Source organism: Homo sapiens, chromosome 1 (assembly GCF_000001405.40).
Source record: "Homo sapiens chromosome 1, GRCh38.p14 Primary Assembly".
NCBI lineage: Eukaryota > Metazoa > Chordata > Mammalia > Primates > Hominidae > Homo > Homo sapiens.
This window is the reverse complement of record NC_000001.11, coordinates 63,641,217-63,660,543: the sequence shown is the minus strand read 5'-3', so window position 1 is coordinate 63,660,543 and position 19,327 is coordinate 63,641,217. Positions and strand designations below refer to the sequence as shown.

The 19,327-nt window shown below is 41.6% G+C and overlaps 1 protein-coding gene and 1 pseudogene across 3 annotated transcripts in view; both read right to left on the bottom strand.

The window, feature by feature from the left end:
- PGM1 (phosphoglucomutase 1) overlaps positions 299-19,327 on the bottom strand; it is a 66,835-nt gene continuing 47,806 nt past the window's right edge. For all 3 annotated transcript variants that reach the window (NM_002633.3, NM_001172819.2, NM_001172818.1), the window contains exons 8-11: positions 11,892-12,027; positions 8,692-8,875; positions 6,078-6,212; positions 299-958 (exon numbers count right to left, since the gene is read on the bottom strand). In NM_002633.3, the coding sequence (NP_002624.2) occupies positions 869-958; positions 6,078-6,212; positions 8,692-8,875; positions 11,892-12,027 (545 nt within the window). In that variant the 3' untranslated portion in view covers positions 299-868. The remainder of the gene's footprint in view (positions 959-6,077; positions 6,213-8,691; positions 8,876-11,891; positions 12,028-19,327) is intronic.
- On the bottom strand, positions 4,497-4,801 carry RN7SL130P (RNA, 7SL, cytoplasmic 130, pseudogene; annotated as a pseudogene).

Genomic DNA, 19,327 nt, shown 5'->3' with positions numbered 1-19,327 from the left:
GTTAACCATGTCAAGCTTGATTTGTCTACCTTGGAAGAATCCAGAGCTCAGTTGACCCTGCTAAGATTTTAAATTACAATTCTCTTAAAATTTATGTTACTTTTTAGAATATTCAGGACAATAAAAAAAATTACAGTTCTTGAGTCTAAGGATTTGCAACCTAGCCTAGAGACCATTTCATTTTCTGACTAGGACATGAAAACAAAATACAATACTCCCCTCCTTCTAAAAAAAAAATTGTTTTTCTTTCTAAAATCAAAAAAGTACTTTGCAGTTAAGAAAAAAAGACGACAAGCAATTGTAGCTTATTTTCCTTTATTATCCCAAAATATCTGTGTGAATGGGACAATGTCGCAAAACAAGGCAGAAATCTGTAGCCAAGTACGTCTCACTCAGAGGAAAGAACTGATTGGACAGAAGGCACTAGAAATTGCATTTTGTTGGGTTACATGTAAACAGGAAATGGGGGGAAAGATTCACAAAAGAGAAAGGAACTTGCACCATCATTTCATTGCCACATCCTAAGGATGAAGAATGGCCTCACTCACTGCTGATGCTCCACCTATAGCTTACATTGTAGTGTAAACTGTACCTGATGGCTAAGGAGACAAATACCCACGCAGCAGCAATGCAGGAGGGCATGAAAAGGAATTGAGATTGATCTAAGCCCGCAGGTCCTCTTTCCCTCACAGCTCCCAAGGGCATCTTGTTTGGCAGTGCCTTGTAAATGCACTGCTCGTCAACTGGTTAGTGAAAAAGTCAAATCCTAAAATGCTTGGTGAATACATTTTGTTTCTGTCATGCTCTTCAATCAGATGACTTGGATGGGTCCGGGGGTGGAGGGACGTACCACATCAGGCCTGTCTTCTTAGGTGATGACAGTGGGTGCAGTGCGTCCCGTCCTCTCCTGCAGCTGGGACACTTTCAGAGCAATGGAAATAAGGGGGGCCAACATGACCTGAGGAAGACATAGAGAGAAGCTTTTCCATCACTTCCTCTAAACACAGATGCTTAGCTCCAAACCCGTACGTCTGACTGCCTACTTCCAGGTCTCCAAGGCTCCTCAAACTCCACAAATCCAAAAACAAACACATGTTATTTCCCCCAATACCTAGTTCCAGCAGTTTCTATTTCAGTGGATCAACACTACAGTCTTTCATGTAAAGTGAACAACTAGGAGTTGCTCCTGACATCTTCCTCTGCATTTTCCCCATGCCCAGTCCATGAGCAGGCCTCAATGACTTTTCCCCGCTAAATCTCTCTCCATGGCCCCCTTTTCTCTCCACTCTCCTGCTGTTAAGTCTTGCTAAGTCAATGTCCTGTCTCTTACCTGGAGCAGTGAGTGCCTCCACATCCACTTGTGCATCTTCCAATTTCTTTCCCACACTGTTCCCAATGGGACTGATGTGGTTTGGCTCTGTGTCCCCACTCAAATCTCATCTTGTAGCTCCCATAATTCCCAAGTGTTGTGGGAGGGACCCGGTGGGAGATGATTGAATCATGGGGGTGGGTCTTTTCTGTGCTGTTCTCATGATAGTGAATGGGTCTCATGAGATCTAATGGTTTTAAAAACAGGAGTTTCCCTGCACAATTTCTCTCTTTTGCCTGCTGCCATTCATGTAAGACATGACTTGCTCTTTCTTGCCTTCCACCATGATTGTGAGGCTTCCCCAGCCACGTGAAGTGTAAGTCCAATTAAACCTCTTTCTTTTGTAAATTGCCCAGTCTCAGGTATGTCTTTATCAGCAGTGTGAAAACAGACTAATACAGGAATCTTTTTTTTTTTTTTTTGAGATGGAGTTTCACTCTTGTTGCCCAGGCTGGAGTGCAATGCTGCGATCTTGGCTCACCACAATCTCTGGCTCCCAGGTTCAAGCAATTCTCCTGCCTCAGCCTCTCTAGTGACTGGGATTACAGGCATGCGCCACCACGCCCGGCTAATTTTGTATTTTTAGTAGAGATGGGGTTTCTCCATGTTGGTCAGGCTGGTCTTGAACTCCCGACCTCAGGTGATCTGCCTGCCTTGGCCTCCCAAAGTGTTGGGATTACAGGCGTGAGCCACCGCACCCGGCCTAATACAGGAATCTTTAAAAATGCAACAACCCCTCCCCACATCTACTTCTCGCTTAAAGAAAAAAAAAAAAAAGAGAGAATTCTGTTGCTTAATAAATGCTTTCAATATTAAAAAAAAAAAAAAACTACTAATCTGGTTGAACTGCCCATTTTACAGATGAGAAAACTGATACCCAAAGAGATGAAGTGATTTGACTAAATGACTCAATAGCAGAGCCAGGAGTAGTACATTTTCTACTGCTGAATGCTACTTTTTCTTATCTAAATCTCCACCGATCCATTATACCTGGAAAAGGAGAATCAACTCCACCTGCTGAAACTACCACATTTCCCCTTAGGGCTTGGGCAGTCCCCACAAAGTGCTGATGGCCTAGCAGCTGCAGAATAAGGAAAGGCAGCTCCCCGGCTAGATGGTGATACACCTGGGCATTGTGGGAACCTCACACCATCCACTGCCATTCCACCTGCTGAGGACTATGGTTCAGAGGAAACAAATTTCATTCACTCTTTGAATCTACCACGTGCCAGGCATTTATCTTGATGATCAAAAGACAAACACAATTTCCTTCTTCCTTTTCTCTTGTGCTATTAAGTGTCTATAATGCAGACCCCATTGCCTTTGGTTGAAGTTTTAGGGATGCCTACAACACAACAAGGTACTGGTGATGACTGAAACTGGGGCCTGGCCACTGGAAAAAATGTAAAAGTGAAGCATTCTCTCATCTCCCACTTTCTGTAATAAAAGCAACTATACTACTCATGTGAGGTACCTACAATGGTCAAATTCACAGACACAGGAAGGAGAAAGGTGGTACCAGGGATTGTGAAAAGGGAGAAGCAGGGAGGTGCTGTTCAATGGGTACAGAGTTTTAGTTTTGGGGGAAAAAAGTTTTAGAGATACGTTGGACAACAATATGAATATGTACAACATTACTAAACTATATACTTAAAAATGGTTATAATAGCATTATGTTACACTTAAAGTTAGACTAAAAAAACTAAGAGTGCTGCTTATTCTGAAAAGTTAATCCTATATGCCAGCCACAGTGTTTAAACATTTTACATTTATTATCTCCTTAAACCCCGGTAACAACTAGATGAAGTAGGTATTACTCTGCCATTTGACAGACAAGGAAACCAAGATTCATAAAATTGTAACAACTTACCCAGGGACACACAGTTATTAAGTGGCAGGAATAGAATTTAAAACAAGATCTCTTTAACTTTGCTCAAAACCACTATGCCAGGGGTTTCCAAATGAGTTTCACAGGATTTTAATTAGGTGTTAAAAGAAAAAAGCCTTTGTGGAAAAATAAGCATGGCAAATGCTATTTATTTTATTTTACTTTCAATTTTTTAATAAAAATTGTTTATGTTTAAGGTATATAATATGATGTCTTGATATACAAATACATAGTGAACTGATTACTAGAGTCAAGCCAACTAACATTATCAATCTTGTCACCTACTTACCTTTTTTGTTGTGGTGGTGATAGTGAGAACAATTAAGATCTATTCTCCTAGTACATTTCAAGTGTTATTCATTATAGCCATCATGTTGTACATTCCATCTCTAGAACTGCTACATCCTACATAACTGAAATTTTGTACCCTTTGGACCAATATCTCTCCATTTTCCCCATTCACTACCCCCTAGTAAGCCCCTTTCTGCTCTGTTTCTATGAGATTCACTTTTTTTAGATCCCACATACAAGTGAAATCATGCAGTATTTGCCTTTCTGTGTCTGGCTTATTTCACTTAGCATAATGTCCTCCAGGTTCATCCATGTTATTGCAAATGGCAAGATTGGCAAGATTTTGGTTTTTGTTGTTTTAAGGCAGAATAATTTTCCATTGTGGTATACACACACACACACACACACACACACACACACACACCACAATGTCTTCATTCATCTGTAGATGGGCACTTAGGCTGGTTCCATATCTTGACTATTGTGAATAATATTGAATGAACAAGAGAGAACAGATATCTCTTTGACATATTTATTTCAGTTCCTCTGAATATATACCCAGAAGAGGGATTACTGGATCGTATATTAGTACTAAAATATTTTTAACTTTTTGAGGAACCTCCATATTTTGGTTATTCCAAAATAGCTATACCAATTTATATTCCCACCAATAGTGTCTGATGGTTCCCTTTTCTCCACATCCTTCCCAACACTTGTTATCTTTTGTCTTTTTGAGAACAGCCATCCTAACAGGTGTGAGGTGACAGCTCATTGTGGTTTTGATTTTCATTTCCCTGATGATTAGTGATGTGGACCACCTTTTCATACGCCTGTTGGCCATTTGTATGTTTTCTTTGGAGAAATGTCCTTCAGCAAATGCTATGTAAACAGGCACCTTTACTGCAAGTCTTCTCAGCACCCTCTTTTTTTCTTTCCTTTTCTTTTTTTAGAGATGGGGTCTTGCTATGTCACCAGGCTGAAGCGCAGTGGGTATTCACAGGTGCAATCCCACTACTCATCGGCATGGGAGTTTTGACCTGCTCTGTTTCCAACTTGGGCCGGTTCACCCCTCCTTATGCAACCTGGTGGTTCCCCTCTCGGGAGGTACCATATTGATGCCAAACTTAGTGCAGACACCCGACAGGCATAGCACACTATAGCCCAGAACTCCTACGCTCAAGTGATCTTCCTGCCTCAGCTTCCTGAGTAGCTGGGACCACAGGTGCAGGCCACCATGTCCGAAATCTTGGAGCCTTTATGGTGCATTGCATTGTATGCTGTGAATCACCAAGAAGGGGCTAATATACCACAACACTTCCCCAACTTTTTTTTAAGCTATGGAGCTCTGGTTGAGATAAGGATTGTGAAAAACACTTAAAGAAACTGTCCTGTCCTTCACTGCTTCCCCTTGGCTCCTCCATTTTTGGGGGTTGTCCTTCAAGTTCACTGTCCCACCCTTTGCTCCCAGAGTCCCTCCTTACTCTGATATACTTCTGAAGACTTTTGGGGGAATGGCTGAGGAACCCAGCTTACCAAGCTGCAGGTCTGCAGACTGTTCTGTGAAGACACATGAAACTGCCTCTCCCTGCCCCCACCAAATCTAAGACCCAGTGGTGTGTTCTGCCCAAGCAGGTGATCAGACCAAACAAAGCAACAAAATGCTGCAGACAGAGCAGAACACCAGATGAGGGGCTGATTTAAAGACCAATTATCCTGGGTTGGGTGCAGTGGCTCACACATATAATCCCAGCACTTTGGGAGGCTGAGGTAGGAGGATTACTTGAGGCTAGGAATTCAAGACCAGCCTAGGCAATGTACTAAGACCTCCTCCCTACAAAAAGAAAAAAAAAAAAAAGGAAATGAGCAGAGCATGGTGGCACGTGCCTGTAATCCGAGCTACTCAGGTAGCTGAGGTAGGAGGATTGCTTGAGCCCAGAAGGTGGATGTTGCAGTGAGCTGAGATTGTGCCATTGCACTCCAGCCTGGGCAACAGAGTGAGACCCTGTCTCAAAAAAAAAAAAAAAAAAAGAGAGATTCATTATCCTTACTAGGCATGTAAACCTATTAACTGTTGCTTAACTTTTCTGTGCCTCAGTTTCCTTATCTGTAGCAGGGAGAATAACAGTCTAAGTTATTTGAGAATTAAATGAGTATATTTTCATAATGGGCTTACAACACAGCCTGGCAAACCATAAATGCTCAGAAAATTTTTTATTTTTAATTAATTAATTAATTAATTTTTGATATAAGGTCTCACTCTTGCTCAGGCTGAAGTGCAGTGGTGTGATCTTGGCTCACTGCAGGCTTGACCTCCTGGGCTCAGGTGATCCTCCCACCTCAGCCTCCCTATTTTTATTATTATAATTATTATCTATAATGTTGACATGGAGAAAGAAACATGGAAGAAAGTAAGCACAGCTGGTACCTTGTTGAGTCATTTGAGAAATGGGCATTGAAACACAGGCTCAATGGGAAACTATCATTCCCTTGAACAGAAAGAACTAACCAGGGCACAGGGCTGGGCGTTACCTGGGGGTCCTGGTTAATCTTGGCAACGTCCTTCTCATAGCTATCGATGTACAGCCGAATGGTGGCCCCGGCACTCCCAGTGCCGCTCAGTCGGAAGACGATTCGAGAACCATCTGTGAAAATGAGGCGCAAGCCCTGGAAAAGATAAGCAGAGATTTTTTTCCCCAAATGCTGGGAGACTGAAGGCTGGCAAATTATGAGGGGTCTATTTGGGGATGTAATTTCATCCATACTTGTTCATTGGAGGGTTAAATCCTTGATAAATGGCAGCAGCTGCACCTTGTGAGCCTGCCTTCCGTCACCCTCTCTGCATCCAGCTGATGGGGGCTTAGCTACGGTGGGAGAAGCATTTCCAGGGTCAGGGGAGACCTGACCTCAGTGATGCTGGGTGATGTGAGGGCTTCCCTCCTCTCCCCACTTCCCTGTGATTTATGGACTAACCATTCCAGTTTGAAGCTTAATAATGAAGCACATAAAGCTGCTAGATGCAAAAATTCAGCCCCCAGATCAAGAGGGAAACATGGACCAAAGGGGCTGAAACCAGAGCTGAAGAGGTTTCAGGCAGATGAGGGGAAGGACTCTTACAAACCACTAGCAAAGGTCCTCAAAAGAGAACAGGAAGTCAGAGGTCCCAAATGGCAGAGACTGGCTATTCCCAACCTAACAAGCAGGAGCCAGTGGCCAATCTCCTGCCAATCCCTGATGGACCCAAAGCGAGGTCCGTGTGAAGTGCCAAGCCCATCCTTCTCTCTGCTGCCCTCTCTTTTTCCTCCCCAGCGGTATCTCTGGACATCAATTATCTTCTCACTTGGGGAAAAATGTGTGGGAACTCTGGGGTAGATATTTCCCAACCTGAGGGAAGAAGGCTGGGACAGAAGTTGCCTGAGGACTCTTCAGTCTTTATGAGTCTATCCATCCTCTGTAAAAAGGAGAACCTTGCATAACACCAAAGACTGACCAAAAAGATGCTGCTCTTCACCTGCTGTTCGTCACCAATCCCCATCTGGTGTTTAATGGTGCCATTCATTAGCACTGATTAGTGAAGACAGTAGATGAAATACACAGAGGATATGCCACAGTTAGTCACTATGGGAAGGATACGGTCCATTTTCACTGACCATTTCTTGCTTTCTAGGAACACACCAGGGTTGGTCTCCTTTCTTCACAGCTTCAACTTGAAGCCTCTAAAATTCTTTTCACTAGATTGCAGATGTTCTATCTATATATGTTGGATCATATTTTTCCCTCCTATCTGGTCTCACATCAAAATGCTTGGATTTTCTGATTACAGAAAGTGGGGCAGCTGCTTTCTTTACAGCACAGAGGGCAGCTCTCGAGCTTAGGCCACTGTCTCCTATACACACCTTTACACCTCTTCTCCCTCCTGGCAGATGCCAGAGGCACTGCAGAGCTGGGATTTACTTTTCCTTGACTTCCCTTCTGTCTCTGAAGGCTTAATGACACAAACTTCTGTCCCACTCTGCCATCCCTCAGCTCCACTCCTTTTCTACACCCCTTTCTTCCTCAACCACAGGTCTCTCTTCTAATTATCTCAGGCATAATTTACAATCATCCAAACTGGACCCCAAGTTCTCACAAATGGCAAACAGGCACAAGGATGAGAAACCACTTGTGCTAGAAGTTGAGGAGGGGAGACTCCAGGCACTGAGGGTTGCTGTGGCCCATCCATCCATTCACTGCCTGCTCCCCAGAGGGAAGCCTCCAGTAAATCCCACGGCCCGGCCCTTCCAAACCCTATGAGATGCCTTGACAAGGACCAGGCCAAAAATCTGGGTCAATTGGAAAAAAGTAAACTGGGAGGTTGTAACAGAATCTTCATCCTGCTCTTTATTCTATTATGAATTGTGAGAGATGAGTTTACTCTGTGACAACAGGCAACAGAAGCAGAGGTGAGAGAACCCTGGTGCGTAAGTGTTCATGAGAAGCCAGGAGAAAGCCTGACCCAGCCTGCAGCCTAGGGTACCCGGCACACAGTAAGGGAAGCACTAACAATTCTGTCCACATCTAGAGATGCTCCAGGTCCTAAACTGTGGCGTCTTGCCAGGTACTGCTGTGTTAGGTGGGGTGCCACTCATGTGCTGCGAATGACGATGGTCAACGTTTCTAAGTCTGGGAATGCCTCATCTATTTTTCTCTCCTTTAGAAATTAGAACATACGAGAGAAACGTATAAGTATAATGCCACTTACATGCTGTCACTCTGCTATAATCTGCTGACAGAAAAGAGAGGAGTTGACATCTAAGTTCCCACAGTTCTCCCTCTTTCTTAGATTCTGGGGCTCCTTTCTGCATGTACAATGGACACATCATCTTGCATATCATTCCAGAGAGTGCAAAAATCCCTCTGGAGTCCAGGTTAAGAATCCCAGAATGAGGGTACTGGACAGTGCACAGAACAAGGGCATAAACCACTGTCCCAACGAGTGCATGTGAGAGTCACGTGGGACAGCAGAAAACCAGGTAAGAACAGCTACCCTAGAAAAACACAGCAGCAAAAGAAAAATAGCCAACAGGAACTTTTTAATTTTTCCCTTGAGATGTCAGAGATGAAGCTCTGAGGTCTCTCTCTCACTTACACACCGGTCTGTTTCTACCTGATTTCTTGAAATGCTTCCATCCACTGGGTCGCTGTATTCAAAGTTATCGGCCTTCTCCACAGTGTAAACTTTGTCATTTGCTGAGAACTGCTTCCCCACAAAGGAGCGATCAAACATCAGGGCCTCCAAGTCCTTCATCATTTTGTTTGCGCCCTCAGCTTCCACCTCCTCGTAATCATACCTGGAAGAAGTCACGAAGTTGAGGCCCACGGGCTGACTGCAGATCACACCAAGGCCTATCAGTCAGCACTTTCTTCATCATTTGTTTGGCCCTCCCGCAAAACTATCTAACTTCAGAAGAAGCTGGCAAAAAAAATACAGGCCTGTCAGTCACTGGGGATGGAACAGGCCAGGGATGAAAGGAAGGGTTTGGAGGATTTCAGGGAAGGGTTATGAGCTTCTGAATAAGCAGAAAACACCCATCTTGGCATTTCTACAGAATAAAGCTCTAAGATGTTTCAAAGGCTTTTGAAAGATGCTATCTAACATTTAGTCACCACATCCTGAGGAGGTAAAATGAAAAGCAATGTTATCTCTGGAGAACTCTCTTGAAAGGAGCACGTGACTCAGGCACTTCTCCTCCAAGCTCCCTGGGCTTCTCTGGGGTGAATGCTGGGCCTGCTCCCAGCCTGAGACCTGCCTGAGGCTGCTGAGATTTTGACTAAGCAGAGTTCCAGCTCCACAGGAGCTTCCTAAAGCAGGGCCAAGTTTTCACCGACCAGATGAAGACGCCAAACACTGACTCTTTACATCTAAAATGCCTTTTTTTTTTTCATTAATTTTAGTAAGTTTCAAGATACATGTGCAGAACGTGCAGGTTTGTTATATAGGTAAATGTGCCATGGTGATTTGCCGCACCTATCAACCCATCACCTAGGAATTAAGCCCCAAATGCATTAGCTGTTTATCCTGATGCTCTCCCAATTTTTTTTTTTAAATTTTGTTTTATTTTAAGTTCTGCCTCCCTCCTTTCAGTGGCAGTGGATTTTGGTCCAAGGTCCTTTGGGTTCACCCTGACAGAAGAGGCCCAGTGCGGATGAAAAAGGGCCAAGGAAAAAAGTGCATCACAAATGAAATTCTATAAAGATGAGTTTTCCTTCAAGAATTCTTTTTGACTTCTTTCTTATGATGTTAAAGACTTGTACAGGTGGCTTTTCTTGACCTAGTGGCATACACCCTCTTGAGAGAGTTATTTTTTAGAAGCTCAAGATAGCAGAGTCTATATTTATTTGTAATCGTGAAATAGATATCATATATGCAAGATGACACCTCTGAGACATGAGAAATGCTGAGGAATTAAGGCCAGCCTATTCTGGCTCCAGGATTCTATGAATCAAGGGCCAAACAGTCCCCTTAATCTTAAAGTCAGCTCTTTCCCCTAGTTAACATGATAAACAACAAGAAATTACAACCAGGTGTTTGTGCTTTACATTTTTGACCTCTGGGTACTCCAGAGAAATGTTTTCTAAACCCTAGGCACAGAGGGGTGGAATAGAAGAGTCTGGGTTTTGCAATCAGACAGATGAGCTATGAATCCAGCCTCTATTGGCTATTAATTGTGTGACTACAGGGCCAGCTGCCCTATCTCTCAGAATCTCAGCTACCTTATCAATAACTGTTTTGAGGCTAAAGTGAGACAATGCATGCAAAAGTGCCTAGCGCTTTTGTTCAGTAAGTGGAAGGTATAATGGAGTTTTAACTAATCATAAATGCAGGTACTAAGGATTTGATTTGTAATACTTGGTTAGCAATTATATTTGATAATTAATAAAATCATGTTAAAATAGTTTTTATATGGAGGATTGTGACTAATTCAAGGGTGTGACCCTTTCTCTGAACAACCCCTCCTAACCTTATTCTACTCTGGCTATTGTTCACCTGTTAACTCATTCATTTATCGGTTCAAAACGTATTTATGCAGTCTCTACTATGAGTTGGGTGCTTAGGGCACAAAAACAGACATGGCCTTGTTTTTATGATACTCTAGGTTCTAGACAGTTCATGACTGCTGTTCTGAATGACCAGGTTTTTCTGTCTGTTATAAAGTAGGGATTTTTTTGCCTTGGTTCCCAGGGCTACTGTGTGGTGTCAGGTAGTTATTACTTATTCCTTCCACAAAACAGTAACGTGAGAGAGAAAGAGATCAATGAATCCGTCCAAAGTTAATAAAATAATTCTGATTAAGGAGCTTAATTTACTTAGTTGAATTCTTTCTTGACTATCCAGAGATCACGGACTATAAAATCTGGGATATATTTTTTAAATTCTCTAGTCTAACTCACCCATTTTATAGAACAGGCAACTGAGGTCCAGAGAAATTACACCTATTCATTTCTTATACATAAACAATTCATCTAATATCCTTTTTACCATATTTTCTCTCTATAATTGGAATACTGAGGTCCAGAAAAATTCTTGTTAGATTTTTACACTAACTGGGGGAAAGGCAAATTGGAATTAGTGAAAAGTACTACTGTCAAAAATTTTTTAATGCTTTTTAAAAATAGAAGTACGCATGATAAGGAATAATTACTAAGTATTCTAAGTATTTTGTTCACTGCTGAATTCCAAGTACCCGATGGAAATCGGGTATACAGTAAATATCTGTTGAATAAATTAAAAAAATTATTGACAAGTATATAGCCCTTGGGGACCTATTTCACAAGGCAGAAAAGTCGATGTGGACTAAGCATAACTGTTTCTATAATTTATGAAAAAAAGTTTCTAGGCTTTCAGTGCCCCAAAGTTAACAAAACATTTTCAGACTCATTATTCATTTAATCCTCTCAACAGCTGGACTGTTATTCCCATTTCTACAGATGACAAAACTGAGTACAGAGAAAAGCTAAATGGCTCCCCAATCTAGTAAGGGGAAGAAATAAAATTCTAATCCATTTCTCTGAATCCAAATCCAATGTTATGATCATGTCCACCCAATGGACACATTTAAAATGCTTATAAAGCATTTATTCTTTTGATTATGTTAGCTAAACTTTTAAAGCCTCACTCTTTATGGCTGACATAAAAATTGACTTCATTTCATCCCTGACCAGATTATTTTTAAAGTCTCCAATTGAGAGAGGCTGGATGACCTAGGGTTTTATTAGCACTTAAGACAGGAGAGGCTGTGGATGCGCAAGAATTCTCTCTGCCCACTTCCCCACCTTACCTTGTACCCCAGCTGGGCTGTGGCTCACCTGGTGAAGAAATTCCGGCCATACTTTTGCCAATGATCTTTGAGAATGTCCTCCACACTCTGCTTGCGGGTGGCTAGGATGGAGAGCCAGGCAAGGACAGCCCACAGTCCATCTTTCTCACGGATGTGGTCAGAACCTGGAGGGGGGACAGCAAGCTGCTGTAAGAAACGTGCTTTCTCCCAGTACCTGAGAAGGTACTTGATATGGTTTGGCTCTGCATCCCCACCCAAATCTCATGTTGAGGGAGGGACGTGATGGGAAGTGATTGGATCATGGGGGACAAAGTTCCCCCTTGCTGTTCTGGTGATAGTAAGTGAGTTCTCATGAGATCTGGTTGTTTAAAAGTATATAGCACTTCCCCCTTCACTCTCTCTCTCCTGCAGCCATGTGAAGAAGGTGCCGGCTGCCTCTTCATTGTTCTGCCATGATTGTACATTTCCTGAGGCCTCCCAGCCATGGTTCCTGTACAGCCTGCAGAACTGTGAGTCAATTAAACCTCTTTTCTTCATAAATTACCCAGTCTCAGGTAGTTCTTTATAGCAGTGTGAGAACAGACTAATACAGTACTCAACAGTAGGTGTGCAGACCCAAATAAAAGAGTCACACTGCCTGACTGAGGACTTGGGTATACAGGAGGAATCACATATTAAGTAGGCAACATGATACTGAAAAGAAATTGATGCTTCCCAAAGTGATTTAGAAATGTAAGGCATAAGTCAATAAAAATGTCAGTGAGATAATTAGGTGGAATTTGATATATCAGTTATAAAGTATTAATGTGAAGAGAAAACACAATAGATCTTAAATGAACAAACAGCAGAAGAACATGACCATTACAAAATTTCAATAATTCAAATAGTCTGGTAGCTTAATAGAACAAGAGTGCATCTGGAAAGAGATCCAAGCACACAAGAGGCTTGAGTATGACAAAGGTCTCACTGCAAGGCTGTGGGAAAAGAGTAGATTACTTTTTAAATGGCGTTTGGATAACTGGATAAATAGCTTTAAAAAATTGTTTTCTTCCCTATAAAACACCATAACAAAAATAATTCCAGTTGAACTAAAAATTCGAATGTAAAACCTGAAAGCTTTTAAATACTAGTATATATTATATTAATATACATGTCTTTTTATATATTTATATATATAAATCTTAGGGGTGATAAATAATGTAAATTCGGTATTCATAAAAGAAAACACTGATGTATTTATCTACTTAAAAATCAGCATTTCTATAGTGTAAAACTACTATGGACAAAATTAAAAGCCCATTGACAAACTTTAAAAAATTAAAGAGATCTGGTTGTTTAAAAGTGGATAGCACTTAAGGTAGATGTTTAATACTATATATATATATATATATATATATATATATATATATATATATATATATGTAAAATTTTATTTTTTGAGACGGAGTTTCGCTCTTTCGCCCAGGCTGGAGTAAAGTGGCATGATCTTGGCTCACTGCAACCTCTGCCCCCCAGGCTCAAGCGATTCTCCTGTCTCAGCCTCCCGAGTAGCTGGGATTATAGGTGCCCGCCACCATGCTCAGCTAATTTTTGTAGTTTTAGTAGAGACAGGGTTTCGCCATGTTGGCCAGGCTGGTCTCGAACTCCTGACCTCAGGTGATCCATCCGCCTCGGCCTCCCAAAGTGCTAGGATTACAGGCGTGAGCCACCATGCCCGGCCACATTTGATATATTTTAAGGCAGATGTTTAATACATTCAATATAGAAAAAATTCTTATGTATGAATAAGAAAAAAGAATTTCAATAGAAAAACAGGCCAAGGATATCAATAGGCGATTTGCCAAACAATACACATAGACACATACACCCAACCAATTAGTATAATAAAAAGCTGGTGTTATTTTTAAGAAGAAAAATTAAAGTTAAAACCACAATGAGAAACTGCTACTTGCTTGACAAAAGGTGTAAAAATCCACAAGTGTAAAAATCCGAACAGCCAGTGCCAGGAGAATAAAAGGGAAACGGGATTCCACCAAAGAGCTGGTGGGAGTGGACGCTGGCACAATCCTTCTGGACATCAATTTGGCAAAAAAGGATCAAAGCCTTCAAATTGGACCTACTCATGGATCCAGCAACTCCAAGACACTGTTCTTTAACCATTAAGGTTTGGTTAAACAAACCTTAATGATGTCTCTTAAAGGAGACATCTGTCTCCTGCTAAGGTCCTTGCTAAAATCTTTAACAAAATTTTAAAATGGGCTTCTCGGGAGGATGTGCTTATATGCATGGACACCCTTTTCCAAGAGCCTGATATGGAACACAACTCTCATTTTTTTGCCTTTAAACTCTTTATTCTGAAAGAAAGCAGTCTACATGGAGCCTTATTTTCTGATTTCTGAATAGAACTGTACACAATTGCTCTATAATCATGCTCTCACATTATCCTATGTTGAATTCTTTATGTGCCTGCCCTACTGCACTTCCCGCTGGTCTTATTCTTCTTGGAATTGTTAGAGTATCTAGCACCATGCTGGGTATGCAGGAGGCACGTGGTGTTTTTCCTTCCTCTCTTCATCTTTTCAGACCCAGCTCAAATGTCCTCTCTTTTTTAAGACTAGCTCCCAACTTCCCTAGGCAGTCATGAACTCCCTTCTCTTTCTTCTCCTGTAGCAACCTGCACAAAACATCTGGGGTGGCATCAGCCTCCTCGAGTCTCAACCATCTGTTTGTGAGCCTTTCTCCCCACTAACTGTGTGCTTCTTACGGGCATCTCTTATTTATCCTTGTAATTAAGTCTGGTGACTAGCATAGCACAAGGAATACGGTAAATAACTAATTATGAAAGACTGTGTGAATGAATCAACCAATCAATTTACTCCAACACTTTCTCTTTCTATTTTTGGTTCTTAAAAAAACATGACTTTTTCTTTCAAAAGACTTTTCTCTTCAATAGGATACTACTTTTAGAAGTTAACAGTCCTCAAAACCCGGATGCAGGCAAAACTAGAGAGTAGGCAATATTTTTAGTGCTTTATATAACATATTTTAAAAATGTTTACCTAATTTTACTATCTTTAGACTTTTATTTGCCCTTACTGCTATTTTAAGGAGCAAAAAGCTCTCTGGCTCTTACGGCTTTTGCAAATGATATGTTTTGGCAACAGTTCATCCTGAGAAGCAAGATTCTGGCAGCTTCCCTAATATATTGGGAATTCATGACAGCATATACAGCTTGGAATTATTTGTCTGTGCCCCACTGGGTTTTTTTCTTCCTTCTTTTTCTCCTTAATTTTTTTTTCTTTTTTCTCTTTTGGCTAGACTGAAAGCATAGAAGGCAGTGTTCCTTGTGGCTTTTCCTGCCCTAAGCAAGGAATTTGATTTTTTCTTTTATGTGGAAATGAAAATAAAATCTAAAAATCTTACCCAACTCTGGCCAAGTTACTTGGAGATAACTAAATCATACACCTAATACTATAAACAAAATACCTGCCCTGGGTAACATAAACAAATATCCAATTCCAATTGCATAATCCTCAGCCTCTTTGGATATTCTGGTTCATCACTAATCACCTTGGATGTATCAAAAATTCCAGGTAATTCAATTAATACTCAGGAAGTTGGAGCAAATTTCATTTTCTTCAGGGTTCTGATGAATGATGCCAAGTTTCCAGTGGAAAATACCAATGGTGCAGGTACGTGTTTCTAAAGCTATTCTTTTTGCAGTTGTGGCTCAGTAGATAAAGCTTGATACTTAAGAATCAGATAAACCTGAATTTGAGGCTCTGTTACTTGTAAACTACTTGAATTTGGACAAATCACATTTTCTGTGGCTCAGCAGATAAAGCTTGATACTTAAGAATCAGATAAACCTGAATTTGAGGCTCTGTTACTTGTAAACTACTTGAATTTGGACAAATCACATTTTCTGAGCCTCAGTTTCTTCAACTGCAAAACAGAAATAATGCTAACTTCTCTCTCATAACTGTGAGAAATTACTACGAAAAAGCAAGTAGAAATAGTTTATACATTGTGAGGTGTAATGTAACTACTAGATACTGTTTCGAATAAAGGGAAAAATAAAAGGCTTTTATGGAAAATTATTACATTTTCCACTGACTTTATTATGCTTTTAAAAATAATGCTCCTTGATTGTACATATTGGAGAAGAAAATGGAAGAATATAACCTAATATGCTCTTTCCTCTGGGCACTGGGATTAGTGTTTTTTTCCTCCTTCCTTATTTCTCATAATGAACATAAATTACTTGTTTCATTATGTTTTAATTTTAGAAAGAGAATGAAGCCAAGCTCATTTAACTGTGAGAAAGGTAAAACACTCTGGGCAAGGACTTCTAGTCCCAGCTGGCACAAAAGACAGTGGTGGGTTTTGCACTGGGTCTCTTCACCCTTGCTCCGCTCAGGGACAGGAATTCTACCCTTTCAGCATCTTCAAACACCTGTCACTTTACTTCGGCCTAATCAGCACCTTGTGATAAGCACATACTCGGCTCAGCCAGGGCACATCCTGGGTCTCAGCCAAGAAAAATGTCAACCATTCCTGAGGGAGCCAAGAGCTAACAGTTTAGGGATTGGGTTACATTTACCAGTATGGGCATCTCAGGAGCTGTCCTGGCTTCTGCCCCTGCCAGGTGACAGGCCTGAGGATGGGGGCATGACAGCTGAAAAACAGCTGCATGGAGTTCCCTGAAAGTACCAGTGTCTGTCTGTCTCTTTCTTTTTCTGTCAATTTCTCTCTCTCCTCCAGCCCCCTGAACATACAGTTCTCACTGCCTGGAAAGCCCATTCCACATACACCTACTAGCCTGGCTAACATGTCCTGCAATTACTTTCAACTTCAGTCTTATCCAGGATGCCCTCCCCATGCCCTCTGTGCTTCTACCACTCCCTGTGATCACGCCGTATCCTAGACTATGAGTTGTACTCCCCAAACAGGGGTTGGCCCAAAGTCAGTTGTTAAGACAGTCTGCCCAAAGAATGGCCGGGCCCCAGTTGACTGGCTGGGAGGCTCAGCTGACCTGCTGTGTCTGCAGTCCTGTCCTCTTGGTCTTCCACTGCACAAACAACTTCACTTGGAAAGGAAGGTGAGCTCCTCAGAAAGCCTTCTCCAGACCACTCCAGTCCCCAGGAGGCTGGCCCCAGGAACTGTCAGGCCTTCCACTTAGCAATGAGGCCTGACCTGCCTCATTACTGCCCCTGGAACTTGGTTTCCTTTCCATAAGGTGCCTTTGGAAGAAGGTAGTTTAAGTGCCTGATAAGCAGGAACTCTGTCCTAACACAAACTTCACTTTACACTCAACAAATGTGAATCAGTGCCAGCATGTACCAAGCACATAAGAAGATACCAAGATGCACAAGGCGTATCCCCTGCCCTCACAGATGAGCACAGACATACAGGTGAGGGAGACAGACAGGCAGGTAACACTTTAAATGAGTGAGTTATAATTAGGGTATAAGCCTAGTTCTACTGGCGTATTCTGTCTAGGCTATCCCCAGACATGGGGTGCTACAATCTTCCCCTGTGGGCTTTGCCTACAGGGAAATGTACTCAGTAGCTATGCAAATTAGAATGGGCAGAAAGCCAGAAAGAAAATCTGATCTCCTACACCACAGAACCAAGTTAGGCACCCTGAGAATAAAGCTCCCGAAGTACCCCTGTACTTCACCTTCTATTGCTTTGCACACCTGTAATTCATGGAGCCCTCTATGAGAAGGCCTTGTTCACCATGTGTCCCAGAGTCTAACTCAGTATCCAGGATAAAATCAAAGTTCAATAAATATTTGAGGAATGAATCAATGCAAAATGTGCAAACATGAAGGACTTTTCATATGAAACTAAAAATTAAAAGAAATTTGCAAAGTGTTAATGCTGTATTTCTTTAAGTTATCACTCCTGTATGATACATTAGCACTAGAACCTTTAAAGACAGGACAGGGAAAAAATATTGCTAGCCTCTAGACCTGACCAGATCATAACTTACATATCTCTAAGTGATACCAAGTTCATCATCAACCTGGTTTCCCATCGCTCTTTCCCAAGCCCCCTATTTTCCTGAGGAAGGGTTCAAATGCATGGTATTGTATACTATTCAGTGACTTCACTTTCAAAGTCCCAACAATTCTAAGGTGGGATGGAACTGACAGTCTGCCCTCTACCATTGTGTATAAACATGTACATAATCATCCACGGTTAGGAAGAAAAAACAGCTTTGTACCATGAGATCAACAAACAACAACAGGCTTATCCTGTCCAGTTCTGGTCCCCATTTATCCCTGGTGTTTGTAATGCTGACCTCTGAAGAAGTAAGTGACCTAGCTTCTGTGGTTACCATATCCAGGTGAGAAAGCTGCTGCTCCTCCAGCACAAACAGACTAATGTATAATGTATACAAACAGACTAATGTATAATGTTAGTAATATTCCAAGATTGTTCTGCAGATGCTAGTGGTTTGTTTTACTCGGTGGACCAGTCCTGAAGTTAGACTCCTTTGCACCTCTTTGCAAGCAAACTTCTTTTCTTTTGTAAAAGTGCATTTCTTCCCGCAAAGACCCTGGGGTTCCCAACCCTGGACTGTGGAGTGGAAGTGGTGTTGAGTCATTACAAGGGTCCCAGACTACGGCAAGAGGTGAGGTGTGGATTCTCCATTGAGGTGGGTGGTTCAGCCAGAAAGCAGTGACCAGTCACTATGGTTCCAGCATCATACAGGAATTTACATCAGATACCTTTTAAAGTTCTTTCTTTTCCAATAGCAGGAATCTGTCTAAATGGAAGGTGCCAAGTGAATAGTGTTCATGAACTCATTCAACAAGCGTTTACTGAGCACCTGTTCTATGCTGGGCTCTACGGGAGGCTCGAGGGACACAATGCAGGATAAGACACATAAGATCTCTGTCCTCATGGCATATACAGCCAACAGACATTAATCAAATAACCATAAGTAATTGTAAAATCACAGCTGCAACAAGTACAACAAAGAAGAGGTACATGGTGCCACAAGAGCCAATAATCAGGGGATTTGGCCCACTCTGAAAGGTCAAGGAAACGTTTTTGAGAAATTGTCTCTCCTATCGCCTGGAAAAATACAGAAATAAAGCACTCTGTGCTCAATTAAGCTATAGAATTCAAATGTTTCAAAGTTCATAGAGTCACTAATGTCTACCCTGAGAAACTCTATGAAAGAACTGTTGGAAACATTCACTAGCAAGGGGCGTGGTTGCTAAAAATTAACTCCTCTATAAATAAGAAGATCAGGAGTTCAGTTAAATAAGCCCAGCTGCACTCGTTCACAACAGCGATCTATGGCTATGCAGCCTGGCTGTTTAAATGTTTATCTCAGAAATATTACACAAAAATTTTCTTTTTTTGAAGAGAGAGAGAGAGAAAGAGCTTGTGATTATCCTCATGATAATGAAGAGCATTCTCTCTTTGGACATGAAATATACCAAG